Source organism: Homo sapiens, chromosome 8 (assembly GCF_000001405.40).
Source record: "Homo sapiens chromosome 8, GRCh38.p14 Primary Assembly".
In the NCBI taxonomy this organism is placed as follows: Eukaryota; Metazoa; Chordata; class Mammalia; order Primates; family Hominidae; genus Homo; species Homo sapiens.
Genome location: NC_000008.11, coordinates 1,988,555 through 2,007,509, shown reverse-complemented (window position 1 = coordinate 2,007,509; position 18,955 = coordinate 1,988,555). Strand labels below are relative to the sequence as shown.

Here is an 18,955-nt window from a genome sequence, read left to right as displayed (position 1 = left end):
TCCTGAGTCAGCTCATTCTTAGAGATGGGAAGGGCTTGGCTGGGAGCTCATGGCCAGACCAACTGGCCGCAGTCCACACCCCCAAGCCCTCCTCAGCTACTCTCACACACAAGCCCTGCCCTGTATCACCCCTGGGCCCGGTACCAGGCAACTGGAGACCACCGTGATAGCACAAAGCCCACTGGAAGGACACAAACCAGTGCAGCGAAGCAGCTCCCCCAACCTGCCTTCCCTAGGAACCAAAGTCTAGGCGCTGGCCTCGGCTTCCACCTGCTCCTGTGCAGCCCATCCTGGTGTTCCCGAGGTCCTAGGTGGTGTGCCGTGATCCCCCGCTGGGACCCGTGAGCAGACCGAGGAATCCAGGGCACCTGGGAGTGGGAACAGACACCCCAACTTAGAACCTCTGTGCCAGGGGAGCTTCAGGAGCCGGTGAGGGCAGTTCCTCACTTAACGGGCAGGACGTGTCAACCCTGGGTCCCGCAGGCAGAGCTACGCTCCCTGATTCACAGGAGAAAAAGCCGCATCTGACGCTCGCTGTGGAGAAAGAGAAAAGCACTCGGGGCACATCAGGAGGACTGGCACTTTCTGCGTGATTTATTTCATCTCGGCATGAACTGACAAACATACGAGGCTCTGCACTATTTATGCCCAGGATTTTAAAAGTCAAGCATTAATAAATACATTAACTACACAGATCACAACAGCTGCCCTGAACTTGGCCTTCAACAGGTGTAGTTTACCTTTAATAAATGGTAACATTTGAGAATCGCTTAGAGCTTGAACAGGCTTTGGAGGAGCTTTGATCTCACATGAGAACCCGTCTCCTGTTTCATATGCGTTCAATCCAAATCCATCCACTTGGCGTGTCTGAAGCTCCTGCCAGCACAGTGTCTGTGCCGGGTGCCCGAAGGCTGCACAGTCCAGGCTTCCTCCCGGATGTGGAAAACGTGGAAATGATGTGGCCACTGAAAGAAATTCAAGACAACTGAAACAACTGCAGATTTCCATTTTCAGCTCGTGTTTTCTTATGAACAATAACATTGCAGAAGGGGAAATATCAGAAAGTTGATTGATTTTTAACCCAAAAACAGAACTTTTTGTAAGCTAGGAAAGCATCTAAAATTAACAAGAATACAAAAATGCACTTTTGTTTACATTTGCTCTATTTAGATCTTACAAGAGATTATGTCTTGAATCTATCCTGACTTCAGCAAAAGACAAAAGAACGTTGAAAACATCCTATTTCCAAATCGTTTACAGGAAGTTACCTAAGAGACTGACAGATTCAACGGCTGCTACCAGAATTACTGAAGTGACACCAGAAATTAGCAGAAACAGAGCAGATGATTAATTTCTTACTTATTTGTAGCCAAACTTATACAGTCACGAGTTTTAGTTAAGTAGCCAAAGAATTTCCACAACATTCATTTTCTTACAGCAGAAGTCGGTGCCTCCACAGACTCAGAAACCAAATCCCGAAGTTCCAAATCCAGCTCTACAAAGCTGCAGGAAGCAGTGCGGAGTGGAGGGATGTTCCCAAGAGGAAGAATAAAACCGGAAGGAAAAGGAGGAAGGCTCAAGCTCATTCCTCTGCATCTCAAATGAACCTTGATTGGCAATACAGAAGGGATTGCTGTCAACTAAGCAAAAGGTCAGGCTTCCATGCATAACATTTTCCCCAAAAGACACCACTGCCTTTTCAGACATTTGGAAAGGCCCCTGCGTATGGGTTAATTTCACGAGTCAGACATTTGGAAATGCCCCGGCATACGGGTTAATTTCATGAGGAGTGTGGACAGCTGTCATCAAGGCAATAGCCTCATCTAACTATTTTAATGGGTGGATGACCAGGAATATTTTTGCACCAACCTTTTTCCTACACAGTGTTGGACGCAGACTTAGAACACCACTTTGAATTGGAAAAGGTCCTACCTGGGGCATCAGCCGTTGCCAGGCAGTCTCAGCAATGCCTCTGCCCTCCCTGCAGCAGTCCCAAAATGAAAGCCACACCTTGGAGGGTGTGGCTTTTCTCTGTTTCATGGGTGCAAACCCTAGCGGCTCCACACCCCAGGGACTGGCCCCCAAAAAGCAAAAACACTGCTCATGGCGTGGCAGGTCCTCTAGTATGTATTTTTATGTGATATCACTATTCAGAACTGTGGTGTATACTATTCTATAAATTTCCACAATAGGTTGGCCGGACATCCTTTAATGGTGGGTATTAATTCCTCTTATTCTTTACGTTTCTTAGTGCATTTTGTTGTGAGGTGACAGGGAGCACCTGGGGCTTTGCTGCCGGGCCCCACAGGAAGCTGTGCTACATCTAGTGTGAGCATTCCTTCACTAAATGAAACGCTGGAAAGCCATGGGAACCGCACAGGACTGTGCAACCACCCCCATCCAACATCCACCACTTCTCATATCCTTTTCCGGGGACAGTGTTACTCTGGAAGCCTAATTTCAATATTTCATTTTCAAACAATAAACATTACAGGAATGATTTCACAAGTAAAATCACAGTGATAACAGCATATGAGTTTGATATTTAAGGACTGAAAATATTAGCCTGGTCCTGGTCCCATTTCATATAAAAATTTCTACCATTAATAAAATTCTAGAGGAAAAGGCAGGACAGTGTGAATGGTACATTGCTTAAAATGAACATTATTTGTTTCCTTTTGCTGTAAATACTGTTTCTACAACCATTTCTCCAGTATACTCCTATAAAAGGCCAATCAAGTCAGGCGATATGAAGTCTGTTTTTCTTTCCCAAGATGATTAACCAAGTTGCCAAGCTATCCCCTCAGTTCATGAGTAACCATGGGCAAGCAGACACGTCCCCAGAACATACCGTAACCCAGATCATAAATTCCAGCCCCCGAGTCATGCATAAGGTTCAAGCTGATCACTTCTAAACACACTTAACTGAGACCTCTCATAACCACAGACTCTTTAAAAAGCATAACCTATTTTTCAATTACCCACTGATTTCTACAGAGATGGCAGTTCCCATTACTGGATTAACAAACAAATAATATTAAAGTAGGCAGGATTTCAACTAGTTACGTTCCAGTAACTTTTCCTCTTACAGTAAGAAAATGGGTTGGATTCGGAGTTCAAATGTTCGCCTCTATTTGTGAGCATGGATCTCATCCTCAAAGTCATAATAGTAAGTCCTCTGTATACACACTTGAAAAGTAAAATGTTAAATGAGAAACGACCCAACTGATTTGTTTTTAATCCTCATACCCTGTCAATGCAGTGAGCCTCGTGTTAATTCTATTAGGGTATTTTGGAACTCAATTCAATACAATTAAATACATGCAGTTTACTTGCAAATCTATGGTGATAAGCACGTCACTTCCTTGTTATAAATCTATGCCCACTGTCACTCGGCCACACTTAGAATACTGATTGTAAAAATTAATCTCCCTCATCAGAACTACACGATCCACATTGAAAACATCATATACAGTGGGTTTAAAATGTGCCTACACTTTTTTTTATAGAACTGTCAAAGCAAAATGATTTTCCCCGCTTTTTAGGAATATTTTATCTCGTTCCAGATTATGAAAGCGGCTGGGCATACAGAGTGGACTATCAAAGATTGCTTTTTAGATAGACAAGCACCCTGGTAAGTTTTTCCTACTTATGATGTGCTGTTTGGTCACATTTAGCCACTGAAGACTTAAAATTTAAATAATGGTAAATCATCGCTACATCAGTTAACATCCTTTCAACTGAAAATATGAAAGCCCCCTCGGTCCAACAGTGAGACGGAGCTGCTCTAGGCATGTGAGTTTGAGTAGCAATGGTGTGGGGAAGGAAATACTTCCAATGCATATTGAACAAGAAACCTTACTGGTAATCAAAGATTTTACCTTTAATGCTTATTAAATTACTCTTTTTGGAGTTGAGCCAACCAAAGCGAGCACATGGTACGAAATTTTCAACTAAATCAGAAAGAGCTTTACTTATCAGTTATAATTTTAAATCTCAAGCCAAAAATAAAAGGCGTGACCCTCTCTGCGTGCTTCCCCCGATAGTTCGCGGCGACCTACTTGAGGGTCCCAGGCTCCTGCGCACAGCCTCGGTGCTCTGCGGGGTTCGGGACACCCCGGGGCCGGCTGCAGGCTGCCTCAGGAACCCCCACTGTACCCTGAGGCTGACCCTTTGGATCCCACAGCCTTCTCTGTGTCCTGTCTGTCAAGGGACCCATCCGCACACCTCCTGGGTCTCAAGGCATCCACCCCCAGAAGCAAAGACAAGCAAAAGGAAAGCAAAGCGAAAGCGGCCCTGAGAGCGTCCTCGGGGCTCCTTCGAAGTGTCCAAACCACCAGCGTGGCCAGCGGCCCCGACTCCCCACCACGTCCTCCTCCGCGGGCCCAAAGGGACCTGGGCCCCGCAAACCCCTGCCGAGGGAGACGCCCGCCGACCCCGCCGGCCTACGGGGCGCCCTGCTCCCCTCGGGGCGGCTTCTCAGGCAGGCTGAGAGCGAACGGGATGAGCACACCCCGGACGTCCAAGGGGGCGCCCAGCGCCTCGAAGCCGCCGCCCTGGCCTGCGTCGCCGCCGGCCTCGCCTTCCCGGGCAGGCTGGAAGCGCCAGGTGCCCGCGCGGCTCACGCAGTAGATGGCGCCGTCCAGGGCGGCGCAGCGGAAGGGCTGCAGGCCCGTGGGGCCGCCGGGGAGGCGCAGGGGCGCGACGCACGGGCTCCACTGCTTGGCCAGGCAGTGGTATCGGGACACGCTGACCCCGCTCGGCCCCGCCGCCTGCGCCTCGCCGCGGCTGCCGCTCAGATCGAAGCGGTAGATGAAGCCGTCGAGAGCCACCATGTCGGCCGAGCGCTCGCGGCTGCTGCTGCACGGGCACTCCTGCCACTCGTCGCGCCGCGGGTCATACTTGAGCAGGCGATAGAAGAGGGAGCCCCCGGACACGTAGATCTCGCCGTGGCAGGTGGTGGCCTCATGCGCCACGGCGAAGGCGCCCCGGGGCAGCGGCGCCACGGGGGCCCAGCGGTCGGCGCGCGGGTCGTAGCGCTCCACGCTGAGCAGGCACTCGCCGCCCACGGCGTAGAGGTGACCGTCCAGGGCCAGCAGCCGCAGCTGCGAGCGCGCCTGGCGCAGGGGCCTCACGGCGCTCCAGCTGTCCGTGGCCGGGTTGTAGCAGAAGACCTGGTCGGACGGGCGCGCGCGGCCGTCGGGGCCCGCGGGCGCCACGCCGCCCGCCACGAAGAGGTAGTTGTAGAGGACGCACAGGCCGCAGCCCCGCGCCGGCGCGCCCTCGGGCAGCCGCGTCAGCTCGCGCCACTCTCCGGCCGCCGCGTGGAAGCAGTAGACGGCCGCGTCCCCGCGCGCGTCCGCGTCCCCCGAGGGGCTCTGAGGCCGGCTGCCCGCGCGCTCCCCCGCCGGCCCGAGCGCCGCGGCCAAGAGGTGGGCGCGGCCGGCGCGCAGGCGGCGGCGCAGCAGCAGGTCCCGCTCTGCGCCCGACAGGCGGCCGAACACGGCGGGCTCGCGCAGCACCTCCAGATAGTGGTCGCTCATGAAGCAGTAGGCGGCGTCGCGCAGCTCGTTCAGCCGCTGCCGCTTGGCCGCGCTCAGGACCTCGTAGCAGTTGGCCAGGCTCAGCTGCGGCCCCACGGCGTCGGTGGCGCGCTGCGCGGCGCCGGGCAGCTGCAGGCGGCGCGCGCCGGCCACCACCTCGGCCACGTTGTCGGGCCGCACGCCCGCCATGCGCCCGCTGTAGGCGTCGGCGAGGAGCAGCCGCAGCGCCGTCAGGCTCACTCCCTGCACCCGCAGCACGTCCCGCGACGCGCGCGCGCGGAAGTAGTCGCTGCGCGCCGCCAGCACCGCCTTGTGCGCGCGCAGCCGGCGCCCCGACACCTCCAGCACCAGGTCCGGCTCCCCGTACACCGCCCCGAACCCCGGGGGTACGGGCGCGGGCTCCCCGGGCTCCTCGGGGGACGCGGGGTCCTCAAGCCAAACGCGCGGTTCGGGGGACGGCGCCGCGGGCTCTTCCGGGCACGCGCGCTCCTCAGGGGACGCGAGCTCCTCCGGGGACGCGGCGCCCGCGCTGCCGGCCTCCCACTGCCGCTCCACCACCCGCGGGCCACCGCTGGAGGGCGGGGAGGTGGCCGCGCCTTCCGCCGCTGAGGCGAGGGACTGCGGCGGGGACTCTTCCCCGGAGCTGAAGCACAGGGACGCGCCGAGACTGCAGGGTGTCTGCGCCGGGGACGCGGCGCCCTCGCTCTCGCTCTCCCCGGCAGCCCCGGGCTCAGTCCCTGGGTAGAGGACGCAGGGGGCCACCGCGTGCTCCATGGCCGGGCTGTGCTGCGCTGCGCCCGCGCGCCCCCGGTTCCGCAGCCTGCAGGTCTGGCCAAGGTCGAGCCTTACTCCGGGGTTTCCAGCCTCACAGCTTTTCCTGGCACGCGATCAGATTTCACTTCTGTGTGTCCACGCTTTGTTGTTGTGTGTGTGAAGGGGGGAATCTCACACGCTGCTCCCCCGCCTCGCCTTTGCCCTCTCCTCTCCAGCGAGGAGGGGTGTGTCCGACTTGCTGAACTTCTGAACCCCAGCCACTTTAAATCTGCCCAGAAAGTCTTGGTGAATGGATCTCCAGCTGGCGCCAGGACCGCGTCAGCCAACATCCAGCAATGACTGGAGCTGCAGTTGACTGCGGTTGTTTCTGCAGCCTGGGTGACCAGGTGTCTCTCTCTGCAGCCTGAGTGACTAGCTATCCCTCTTTGCAACGCTGGCTGACTAGGTGTCTCTCTGCAGTACCAGATAACCAGGTATTGGGTGCGCCCTCGCTCTCAGGAGTCCGTGCTCACCCACTCACTTCACATGCTGTCATATCACCGCGCCCCCAGAACACAGAAAGCTGAGACCGGCTGTGGCCCCAACTTCAGAGCCTTGATTTAACACCGTGTCTTGAAAAGAGTCCCCTTATGGGCTCTCCTTCTCTGTGGCTCCCACTTGTGGCTACACAACTGCAAGGTCACGGGGAGGACACTGGTCCTGTGTGCTGGTCTCAGGAGCTCTCCCCGTGTGTCGGCATCCACACCTCCTCATATACGGGGTCATCCGTAATTCACTGCCAGGGGGATGTTAGGAGAAGCCGCTGTGCTCCTGGAGGCTGTCCTCGCTCACGGGGCAGGACCCTTCCTCTGCAGCTTCCTTTGCTGGGATATCAGGTGTTTCCGCGTCCTCTCACCACACTCTTGTTCCTGTTTATAGGACAAAAAGAGAGGATATTTGTGCGTTTTTCAGTAAGGTTATTTCGTGTCAGCGGAGTCTACCACCCTTCCCTCTCCAACGTTCAGATTATAGAATTCAGTTTTGGTTGTAAAGGGGTTGTGATTTTTCTCTGCTGGAGAGTTTGATGAATAGGACATGCAGAATTATTTAGGAATTTTTTAAAGTACCCTCTCGATATTCCTCTCCTGATTTTGAGGACTCAGGAGAGTCCAGTTCAAGCAATTGGCACCACCAAACATTAAGGCCTGACACGCATCGGTTGAACCATATGAAGTTGCTAGTTCTGTAGGTCAAAAGCAGTCGAGTATCAACAATTAACTGTTTTCAACATAAAAAGTGTAAGTAGCATGAAGAACTCCTTTTAGTGAGAAAGCATGACTGGATTGTGTGATTTTATTAATTTATTAACAGATCACAAGTTTTCTTTCAGTGTTTCCCAGTTAATTATTTCACATTCGGTTACAACCATTTGTAGAAAGGCGTTAGGATGCTTCTCTGGAATCAGCTTCAGCCAACAGCATGAATTCAGGACCCCAAATGGCGCCAACTCCTAAATCTCTTTAAACTCTTAGAATTACAACCCTGAAAAACCTCAGAGAAGCAATTATCCAAACAGCCTAAATGCAGCAAAAGGAAAATCAAAGCGAAAAGACTGAATGAAGTATGTGGAAGGCAGATATGAGTGCCGGCAGATGCATTATAGAATACAATCAAATATCTTTCTTAAATTGGCAAACGCTTCACGGACACTCCCTAACATACTGGGAAGAAACTTAGAGTCTTAGAGTCCACATAAGCCAACTTCATTCTGGCCTTCTAAAGAAAAGAATGTGGACAACACAACCATCCAAAACATGACCAGGCTTATCTTTATACAGAATGCGTGTTCAGCTCTCAAGTGAGATGGGTAAAATGATACTTAACCCCCAGCATCTTCTAAAGTTCTACTTATTATGTGCAATAGCATTACCTGGTTACTATAAATTCCCTGCTCTTCCTGTCCCTCTGTCCCTGAAAAGGCTTTCCCAGTATTCTCAGAAATAAAAGTGTCTTCAAGTTGGAAACTCCACGTTTGACTCTCCCTGTCTCTCTCTCTCCCTCTGTCTTCCAGATATCTTTCACAATAAAATGTTGGCACACTCCCTATGTGCATAGAATTGTCATAAGATGCCTGGGGAATGTAATATTAAGAAGGTTTCTGAGAACCTTGAAGCTCTGATCCCCAGGGTAGGTCACAGACAATAGCTAAGCAGGACACAAGGGTCCCTTGTGTTCACCCAGCCATGCCCACACTGACAGGTGCTCACCCCAGGCCCCCATCCTGCTGTCCAGTGGTGGCCAGTCCAGGGCCGGGGAAAGGACCACAATGTAACGGTGACCCGAAATGGAAAAGCTGTGAAGCTGCATCGGTGAAGGGCACCAGCCCTGAAGACTGCAGAGTCTTTCCAGCCAGCTGAGTCATGCAAAGGAGAGAGAGAGCAAATCTAAGACAAACTTCTCTATCAGATAAGAAATACACATGAACCTCATGTCTGAAATAAAATCTGAGAACTGGCTGTCTCAGTTGGCTTATTCGTTTAACACTGCTTCTGTAAGATACAGAAGACATAGCCCCTAAAATCCAGTGTAGTAAACTTTCTTCTTGGCCTAGAAAGGGCTCTCGGAGCTCCCTAGTTCTTTCTCTGGCTGGACTGTCCTGCAATGTACAGGAGCCTCCATCCCGAGAGTCATCTTTATGTAATTAATCATTACAGACTGAAGGGAAGTCATGCAATCAGTCAAATGCATTTTAAAAGCTTAAATTTGGAACTCTGCCCTGCAAAGTCCTATGAAATCAGTTCAAAGCCTGAAAGAGTGTTTGATAAGTATACATTTTGTTATAACTACAATTAAGCAAGAGAGACATCTCCATGATGAAACAGACACACCAGAAAGCAGCCCACAGTGCCCCCAACAGCGAGGGACCCATCTCTGCTGTGCCAACAAGGAGGCTGTCTGGCTAGAGGCTGAGTAGCCCTCATCCCAAATGCTTGAGCTCTTCAGGATTTCCCATTTTTTGAATTTTGGAATACTTGCATTTATACTTACATTTCAACTCCCAAAACCCCAAATCTGAAAGGATCCAATGAGCATTATGTCAGCACTCAAAACAGTTCAGATTTTGGAGCATTTTCAGTTTCAAATTTGGGATGTTCAACTCACACCTGGGTTAGAACTGGTTCTTATTCCAGCTGGCCCAAGAAATAATGAAACTCAATCATCTCAAAAGTCATGATTCAAGCGGTCTTTATGTTACTTTTCCAACACACACACATTATTAAATTGTGTCCTTCTGAGGAGCCCCTTCCAGCAGAGGTGGTGGCCCTATCGTATTCTGTCGTTGCCGCCGTCCCCCTGCGTGCCCTTTGGCTCACATTACAAAGCAAGTTGGCAGAGCAGGGGATGGTCTCAACATGGTACAGCGTCGCACTCTCACTGGGAGGAATCACAAGGCCTCTCAGACACCACTGCATTGAGATCACCTGCCACAGGCAAAAGCAGGCCAGCAGCTCCCTGTCCACCACCATCAGCGATGTTGTTTCTGACACCAAGATCTTCAGCTACGCTGTTGAGTAGCAGCAGCAAGGCTGCATCAGGGGCTCGGGAGCCCTCCGCCGCCCCTCTAGGAGGCTCTGGGCAGCCCTTCCGGGAGATGGTCTCACAGCACTGAACGTGCCTGCCCTGCCGCGGGTCTCCCTGCAGAATGGACGTGGTGTCACACACCATGTGGGAAATGAGGTTAAGCAGGAGGCCCTTTTCTGTCTCAAATTATGTTAAAAGAAACTCAACATTAAGACTTTTTTTTTTTTTTCCAGAATGACCCATTACTGAAATTTTTACCTTAAAATAGATGGAGAGGAGTTGGCCTTTGGGTCTAGCAGTCCTCTGAGGCATCAGCAACCGCGGTGACTGTTAGGGTCAGATGTTTTTGGATGGGAAGTCAGGGATTTCCACAGGGATTCCTCCCACCGCCACCATTTTGTGGTTGGCTCCAGAATCAGAATTCCACTAAGAGGCTCCCTGAGGAGCGTCCATCCTTGTTACTGTGAAATTACTGAAACTCGCCCACCCCCCGCCGGAGGGTTTGGAAGGATTTTTTCCCTGGGTGATCGTCAACAAGGGTTTCCTGAGCCCACTTCTGGAGTCACAACCAGGCGACACAGAAAGTCAGCACTGCAGTTTCCATGGAAGGCACGGGGGGCGCGCGGGGGAGACAGGGAGTGACCAGTTTCCTCCTTGCTGGTAATTAGGAAATCATTTCATAAGAACAAGGGCTAATTAAATATAAATAGTATTAATTAAATGTAAATAATAAAATATATGTAGCATTTTCCCCCAGAAGATGTAAGTTTCTTCTGGGCCTTATAAATATCTAAACTTCTAAGTTTCTATACATTTCTTTACGATTAATACAAATTAAAAAATAAGATTTTGTATGATTTCCCAATGTGGACATTATATATTTAATGTGGACATTAGGACTTATTCAGAATAAAATATCATGCTCTATTTTAATAATACTGCTTGCTAAAAAGAGTCTTCCTTTCAAATCATTACAGTCAGCTTAATTTTTTTTTAAAGAATGCGTTCATTGACTTAGGGAGTTTATGTAAACTTCTGTGGTATGTTTTGCTTCTCAGTCCTTCAGCCAGGCGCGGTGGCTCAAGCCTGTAATCCCAGCACTTTGGGAGGCCGAGGTGGGTGGGTCACCTGAGGTCAGGAGTTCAAGACCAGCTTGGCCAACATGGTGAAACCCCATCTCTACTAAAAAAATACAAAATCAGCCGGGCTTGGTGGCACAGGGCTGTAATCTCAGCTACTCAGAAAGCTGAGGCAGGAGAATCACCTGAACCCAGGGGGCGGAGGTTGCAGTGAGCCGAGATCACGCCATTGCACTCCAGCCTGGGCAACAAGAGTGAAACCCCGTCCAAAAAAAAAAATTCCTTCCAGCGTCCTACACGCATTGCCTATATCCCACCACACCCTGTTAGACCACAGCGTCCCTGGGAATAGCGCCTGGGTGGGCCGTGCCCACATGGCCTCCATCAGCACCAGAAAGATGCCATTCACACAGTTAAGTAGCCAATGAATCGCAAGGTTAATTAAGAAAGAAGGGCCATAAGTCTAAGAAAAATTATAGCATCTTAGAAACCTGTAGGGAATCTCAGGATTTTTGTTTGTTTGTTTTTTGAGACAGGGTCTTGCTCTGTCATCCAGGCTGGAGGACAGTCACACAAGCATGGCTCACTGCAGCTTCAACTCCTGGGCTCAAGAGATCCTCCCACCTCAGCCTCCCAAGTAGCTGTGACTATGGGGGCGCACCACCACAGCTGGCTAATTTTTGTATGTTTAGTAGAAACAGGATCTCGCTATGTTTCCCAGAGTGGTCCTGAACTTCTGGGCTTAAATGGTCCACCTGCCTCGGCCTCCTAAATTTGCTGGGATTACAGGTGTGAGCCACCATGCCCGGTCAGGATTTCTCTTTGATTCAATGTATTGGTTCACTTTCAACTGCTGTTACAAATATTGCTTTTCAAGGTTATTTCCTCTCCAGGCCCAAATGAAAACAGGCCCACAGCTTCTGGGCAGGCAGGACCGAGGGTGGGTGAAGCAAGAAGGGAGTCGGTGCCATCACTGACACTGATGCCCCGTGGAACTGGCCGTCCTCACACCCAGCCCTGATCCACATTTTCTCAGTATGCTTTAAGGCACAGAAAATAGTGTAAAGGGACCATGAAAATGTGCAGAATTACACAGCCTAAAACTAGCCAGGAGGAAACACCACTCAGGAAATACATTTTCCTTGTAAAATGCAGCCCATATTTAACTTGGCCGTACGGCTACTAAAAGCAAGGTTCTGTGCTGTCCTGGGGAATGAGAAAAGTGGCTTCTGCTCTTAGTGTCTGCCTTCAGGATTCCTACAGTGGTTCAAGCAACGAGATACTACATGGATAAAAGAAAACTAAAGCCAATTGTAAGCAATATTTTCTGTGTAGTTTAGAAATGGGGAGGGTGTCTACAGCACGGTGGAGTTTCTTGAGTAACTGAATAAGTAAATGTTCCATAATATACCTAGCAACATGCATTAGAGTGTCTGTCCCACCACAGCACAATGTATATACTCTTTTAGCTTTTTTTTTTTTTTTTTTTTTTGAGACAAGAGTCTCACCCTTGTTCCCCAGGCTGTAGTGCAATGGCACCATCTCGGCTCACTGCAACCTCTGCCTCCTGGGTTCAAGGGATTCTCCTGCCTCAGCCTCCCGAGTAGCTGGGATTATAGGCACCCACCATCACGCCTGGCTAGTATTTGTATTTTTAGTAGAGACGGAGTTTCGCCATGTTGGTCAGGCTGGTCTCGAATTCCTGACCTCAAGTGATCCGCCCACCTTGGCCTCCCAAAGTGGTGGGATTACAGGCGTCAGCCACCACGCCTGGCCTCTTTTAGCTTGTTTTTTATGAAGGGCATCCTAAGAGACCAGCTGGACTGCAGTGTGACCTGACAACACGTGAGTCCGAAAGGACACAGAGCAGCGGGCGTCTATTTTGCCAGGCACTGTTCTGGTGTGTGCTACATCATATTAACACGTGGCACCCGCAGGAGCCTTCTGGGAGGGAGGTGTTGTGATTAGCCATTTATGTGATTTCATCAATATGCATTTTATAAGCCATGCAGTTTTAAGGGGCAGAGCCAGAAATGAGCCAAGCAACTGGCTCCACTGCCCACGCCATCAGCCACCGTGCCATGACACCTCTTGAGTCATTCAGACTCCCGGCCCTGTCTGAGCTGACGCCTGTCACAGCCATGCACGGGGCTGAGCAAAGCCTCTGGAATGTTCAGGCGGGTCGCCGGTTGCCCCTGCATCCTGTAGACAGAATCCAAGCAAGTCAGGGTGCTCTGCGCAGTTCTGAGCATTGACGCAGCAGGAGATGGGGCAGCACTGGGATCCTGGGGCAGGCCCGGCCTCGCTCCACCAGCTGTCCCCCACCTGCCCTCCTGGGGGTCATTTAGGGGAATAACAGTAGGCTGAATCTCCTAGCAGGACTTAATTGGAAGAAGTAAAATTATTGGGAATTTCCTGAAGAAGAGCTTTTATACAATAGATATTCTTGAAGTCTAAGCTCCGTAGGCCGGTAAACGAAGTATTGAGCAATCTGCTCCCAACTCACCCGCCCTCATGCCTCACTCCCCTCTGTCCTACTGCACGAGCTCATGGAATTGCCTGTGGCTCCCCTGATAAACCATCTATGGGGTTTTGTGTGTGTGTGTGTGTGTGTGTGTGTGTGTGTGTGTAGGGGGTATTGTGTATTCATATATTGATAGCTTTTGCCTGTGCAATTCTTGATGCCTAAGACAACCCCCATCCTGGTTTGAGAAGCAGAATTCTTGCTCCTTCTTTAGGCTCAAGCTGCCATGGTGCATTCTCTAATAAGACTTCCTCACTTCCGGTTTTAGTTGCTCTACAGTCTGTGTTTGCAGAGAAAGTCTTATTTTAGCACCACATAGTATCATTACAGATAGGGAGGTGTATGTGTCATCCCTTTCCATAAAAACATAAAATTCACAGAAAGGAGGATTACCTTTCACTCTACCATTAGCACAGGCTGGACTGTGTAAGGGCAACTGGATGGATGGATGGATGGATGGATGGATGGATGGGTGGGTGGGTGGGTGGGTGGGTGGGTGGATGGATGGGTGGATGGATGGATGGATGGATGGACGGATGGACGGATAGATGGATGGATAGACAGATGGGTGATTGGATGGATAGATGGATGGATGGGTGGGTGGGTGGATGGATGGATGGATGGATGGATGGATGGACGGACGGACGGACGGACGGACGGACGGATGGACCGATGGATGGACAGAAAGATGGGCGACTGGATGGATAGATGGATGGATGAATGCATGTTAGCTAGGGAAACTAAAACAATGGTAACTGAAAATACTCAGATGAAACCACAGAGGCCAGGCATGGTGGCTCATGACTGTAATCCCAGCACTTCAGAAGGCTGAGGTGGGTGGATAACCTGAGGTAAGGAGTTCGAGGCCAGTCTGGGCAACATGGGGAGACCCTTTCCCTACTAAAAATACAAAAAAAAATTAGCTGAGAGTGGTGGCATGCAGCATTTGTAGCCCTAGCTACGCGGGAAGCTGGGGTCAGAGGATCACTTGAGCCCGGGAGAGGTCAAGGCTGCAGTGAGTCAAGATCATGCCACTACATTCCAGCCTGGGCAACAGAATCAGACCATGTCTCAAAAATAATAACAATAACAAAATAAAAGCAAGTTTTTAAACTACACAAAGAATGGCAGATTAAGATATTATCCACATGACAGCTCCAAGTAGGGGCTCACAAAAAAGGTTTTGAAAAAAAAAAATAAATAAAAGAGATCAATAGTTATATCTGGATGTTGGATTACAGCTAGGTTTTAAAATCTCCTAAATAAAATGCTGAGTTTCAATATTTTCTAAAATATATGCTGCTTTTATAATCAAAACAACTTGTGGGTTTTAAAGTATAGACCAACTTGAAAAAGTCTTAAGATATAGAAAGAAAAAACAGTATGAAAATAAGGATGGGGATTGGGATGAATTTTTTTTTTTACTCTTTACACATTTTTTAAAAATCTATTATGAACAGGCATGATTTTAAACTCATATTCCTAAACTATGGGGAGCATTTCTAACCTTGGGAAATCTCTCCAGGTACCTACACCTCCAGCCAGTGTTTCCCACCCCACCCCCGCTTCCAATTTAAGAAAAAGCCTCCACCGAGCTCGCTCCCCTCTCCTGGCATCCGTCTGGCCCTTCCTCCCCTGCCTGTTCCTCCTCTCTGAGTGTATCTGGGGGACGTGTGGGTCACGTGGAGGAATTAACATTTGTGCTTTTGTACTGTGTGCAGGAACTGTGCAGGTGACATCAGTTACCACACAGTCTTCAAACACCCTGGGAGGCAGGCAGCGCTGCCACGTTTTACAGTTGAGAAAACCCGGGCTCAGGGATGAGGAAACTCACCCGTGCTCCCCTTCAGGCAGTGACAAAGCCCGGCAGGAACCTGCCCCTCTTCCTGGTGGAATGAACAGGTGGGGCCAGAGTCCAGGAGTGCGTGTCCTGGGTGGCAACAGGTGCTGCTCAGGGACCTTTCAGAAGAGGGAGGGTGGGTTTGAAAGTTAGACGTTCCTCAACTAAAGGCCCTTGGGTAGATGACCTCCCATCTCTGGCACTTCCTCGTGCATGACGCCTACCTCCCTGTGTGTCTACCGCGATGAAATAAGCACACATTTCACGCATTGGCAAAGCTCCAGGAAGGTCAAGGTGTTTGGAAGCCTTCCCTTTGGTGTCAGACACACCCAGGTCGGAGTCTCTTCCCTGTAACTTACTCCCACCAAGAGCCCAGGCAATTTGCTCCATTCAGTGATCTCGTCCTAAAACGAGAAGGCCCACTCACCGGTGGGCACCTTCTCTGCCACTCCATCACTGGGTTCCCTCAGGGCAGTGCAGGACCCCCAGGAAGCAGGCCTCGGGATCCTGGCTGGGCAGGTCACAGCTCATTGCCCACAAGATACCCTGAGCTCTTCTGACCTGGTGTGGGGAGAGCAAAGCCTCTGGCGATGCACGGGCCTCTGGGCTGATGCAGGAGCAAGGGCCCTGCCCTCATGGATCACAGAGCTGGAATCGAGGGAAAGCTCATTATCTCCAGCAGAAGAAAAGAAACAATGCACACAGCAGAAAACTTAAAAATGGGAAGAGGACAGGAGAGTGAGACCCCTGGAGCATGTGGTGCCGAAGGACAGCTTCTGGGGGCGTCTGAGGTAAGTTCGCTAATAAATGCCACTTCTGGCTTAGGCTAGCGTGCGGGGATTCCCATCCTTGGAAACTGTAATCCTTTACCTAAAAGCAAACGCCTACTTCACCAGGCAGTCCTGGAGTTCAACGCGGTGTGTATAAAGAGCACGGTGCAGCCGCTGCCCTAGCAAGCTTTCTCACATGCAGGGAGGAGTGCCTCCCAAGGACAAGGTCACTGCCAAACTACAGAGGCCCACAGCAGGACAAGAAGAGGGCACCAAGGCCCCACAGCATCTACCCGGACAGGGCGCCAAGGCCCGGCAGCATCTACCCGGACAGGGCGCCAAGGCCCCGCAGCATCTACCCGGACAGGGCGCCAAGGCCCGGCAGCATCTACCCGGACAGGGCGCCAAGGCCCCGCAGCATCTACCCGGACAGGGCGCCAAGGCCCCGCAGCACCTACCCGGACAGGGCGCCAAGGCCCCGCAGCATCTACCCGGACAGGGCGCCAAGGCCCCGCAGCACCTACCCGGACAGGGCGCCAAGGCCCCGCAGCACCTACCCGGACAGGGCGCCAAGGCCCCGCAGCACCTACCCGGACAGGGCGCCAAGGCCCCGCAGCACCTACCCGGACAGGGCGCCAAGGCCCCGCAGCACCTACCCGGACAGGGCGCCAAGGCCCCGCAGCACCTACCCGGACAGGGCGCCAAGGCCCCGCAGCACCTACCCGGACAGGGCGCCAAGGCCCGGCAGCACCTACCCGGACAGGGCGCCAAGGCCCGGCAGCACCTACCCGGACAGGGCGCCAAGGCCCCGCAGCACCTACCCGGACAGGGCGCCAAGGCCCCGCAGCATCTACCCGGACAGGGCGCCAAGGCCCCGCAGCATCTACCCGGACAGGGCGCCAAGGCCCCGCAGCATCTACCCGGACAGGGCGCCAAGTCCCAGCAGCATCTACCCGGACAGGGCGCCAAGGCCCCGCAGCATCTACCCGGACAGGGCGCCAAGGCCCGGCAGCACCTACCCGGACAGGGCGCCAAGGCCCGGCAGCATCTACCCGGACAGGGCGCCAAGGCCCAGCATCTACCCAGACAGGGCACCAAGGCCCAGTACCCACCCGGACAGGGCACCAAGGCCCAGCAGCATCTACCCAGACAGGGCGCCAAGGCCCAGCATCTACCCAGACAGGGCACCAAGGCCCAGCACCCACCTGGACAGGGCGCCAAGGCCCAGCATCTACCCAGACAGGCTCCCGGCATCTTCCCGGCAACTGTCCCATTTCAGTCTCACAGCTCACACACTTGAGACAGGCAGATCTACCAGCGTCTTCATTCCATAAATGAAAAAATGCTCAATGCACAGAAATACTAAGTTTGTAGTCTCAGAAGACTGAACAAAATTAGCAGCTGACCAACACCAAAGTTCAATATTCTCCTCTCTTCCTCTGTCTCTGGAGCCTTCAACAAGAGGCCTCAAAAAAAAAAAAAAAAAAAAAAAAAACCACCTGAGACATCGTTATCTGTTCCCTAGTGAGCTGGCCCTCACAAATTAGCAGGGATTCACCCCTGCTGGTCACAAGTTTAAGAGGTTTAGTCAGAGCCATGGATTCCAGCCCCTGTGGTCTCACCCCATGAGGATGCCTGCTTCCGACTCTGTGGTCAGGTTCGCAGCCAGACGCAAGGGAGGTGAGGGGGCACTCGTGTGTCTGGCCCCTTAACCACTGCCTGCTATGAGCTCTTCGGGGAGGCGATGCGTCGTGCAGAGAGGGGACACCTCAGCTGTGAAACTTGTTGCATAGATTTCCTGATCTGCTTCCTGTATCTGATTAATGGATTTTTTAAAAAATGCAAGCGTCTGAGATCCATGCGGTATGGAGCTTAGTGACTCCATCATTCCTTCATTGCTGACACGACGATACACCTGCATGGACCATACTTGAAAGTAGAAGAGGAATGAGATGTCCTTGCACAGAAGTGTGCGGTCAACTTGGTCCAAAACAAGATTGGACAGGGAGCCGCTGGCGCCTGTCCTCGCTCTAGTTATAACACAGCCTGTGCTCACTGGAATCACAGATCTGGAAGTACTGAAAGAAAACTGGATGAAAATAAATCATTGTACTCATTCAAAAGAGCCTTTGATTCAGAGGAGTACAAATCTTACTCTAGGTTTCTGTGAGTGTCCTTGGGGTGGAAACTGAGAACACGTTGAAATAGGAAGCATCTGCCCTTCCCTGTGGCCCGACTCAAGAATTACTGATTCAGCCAAACATAAAGCGTGAATACCAAGGTCGCACCAGAGCACCAAGGCTCTGGAGAGAGGCACCGGCTGAAAGACTCTCCTGAAATGTCCAGCTCTGAAACCCAACTCTGAGCAATGTTTGGGTCAACTTGACTCTTTTAAAATAAATCTGTTTCATTTTAAAACTGAAATCAAAGTTGAGTGTCCTACCAGGACGCTCAGCTGGAATCGGAAATGAGAGATTCCTGGGCTGAATAAATCCTACAATTGCTCACAACTGTCAATCTGTTAGATTTACATTGATATGTTAATAATGATAATTAATTAGCAATATTCATTCATTTGCTCATTTACTTAGCAGACATATATGAAGTATTTACAATGTGCCAGACAGCGCGCCAGCTACTAAAATGGTAGCAAGGAATGAGACAGACTTGGTCCCAGCCCCATGGGGCTCAAGCCTCAGTGCAGAAGGCAAGCGTTGAGCCACTGCACACGTTTGAATGGATTCAGGAACCAGGACAAAGGCTTGAAGAGACTAGCAAGAAGACTCCAGGAGGGGCTAATATCCAGAATCTACAAACAACTCAAACAAATTTACAAGAAAAAAGTCATCAAAAAGTGGGCAAAG

General features: G+C 51.3%; 1 protein-coding gene across 3 annotated transcripts in view; it reads right to left on the bottom strand.

The window, feature by feature from the left end:
* Positions 1–573: 573 nt before the first annotated feature.
* The window catches only part of KBTBD11 (kelch repeat and BTB domain containing 11), a 33,260-nt gene continuing 14,878 nt past the window's right edge, over positions 574–18,955 (bottom strand). The window contains exons 2-3 of one of the 3 annotated variants that reach the window (XM_011534772.3): positions 10,137–10,205; positions 574–7,225 (exon numbers count right to left, since the gene is read on the bottom strand). In XM_011534772.3, coding sequence (XP_011533074.1) covers positions 4,446–6,317 — 1,872 coding nt within the window. In that variant the 5' untranslated portion in view covers positions 6,318–7,225; positions 10,137–10,205 and the 3' untranslated portion in view covers positions 574–4,445. Of the gene's footprint in view, positions 7,226–8,563; positions 8,710–10,136; positions 10,206–18,955 lie in introns of all 3 variants that reach the window. The other 2 variants (XM_017014116.2, NM_014867.3) reach the window with 2 other exon arrangements.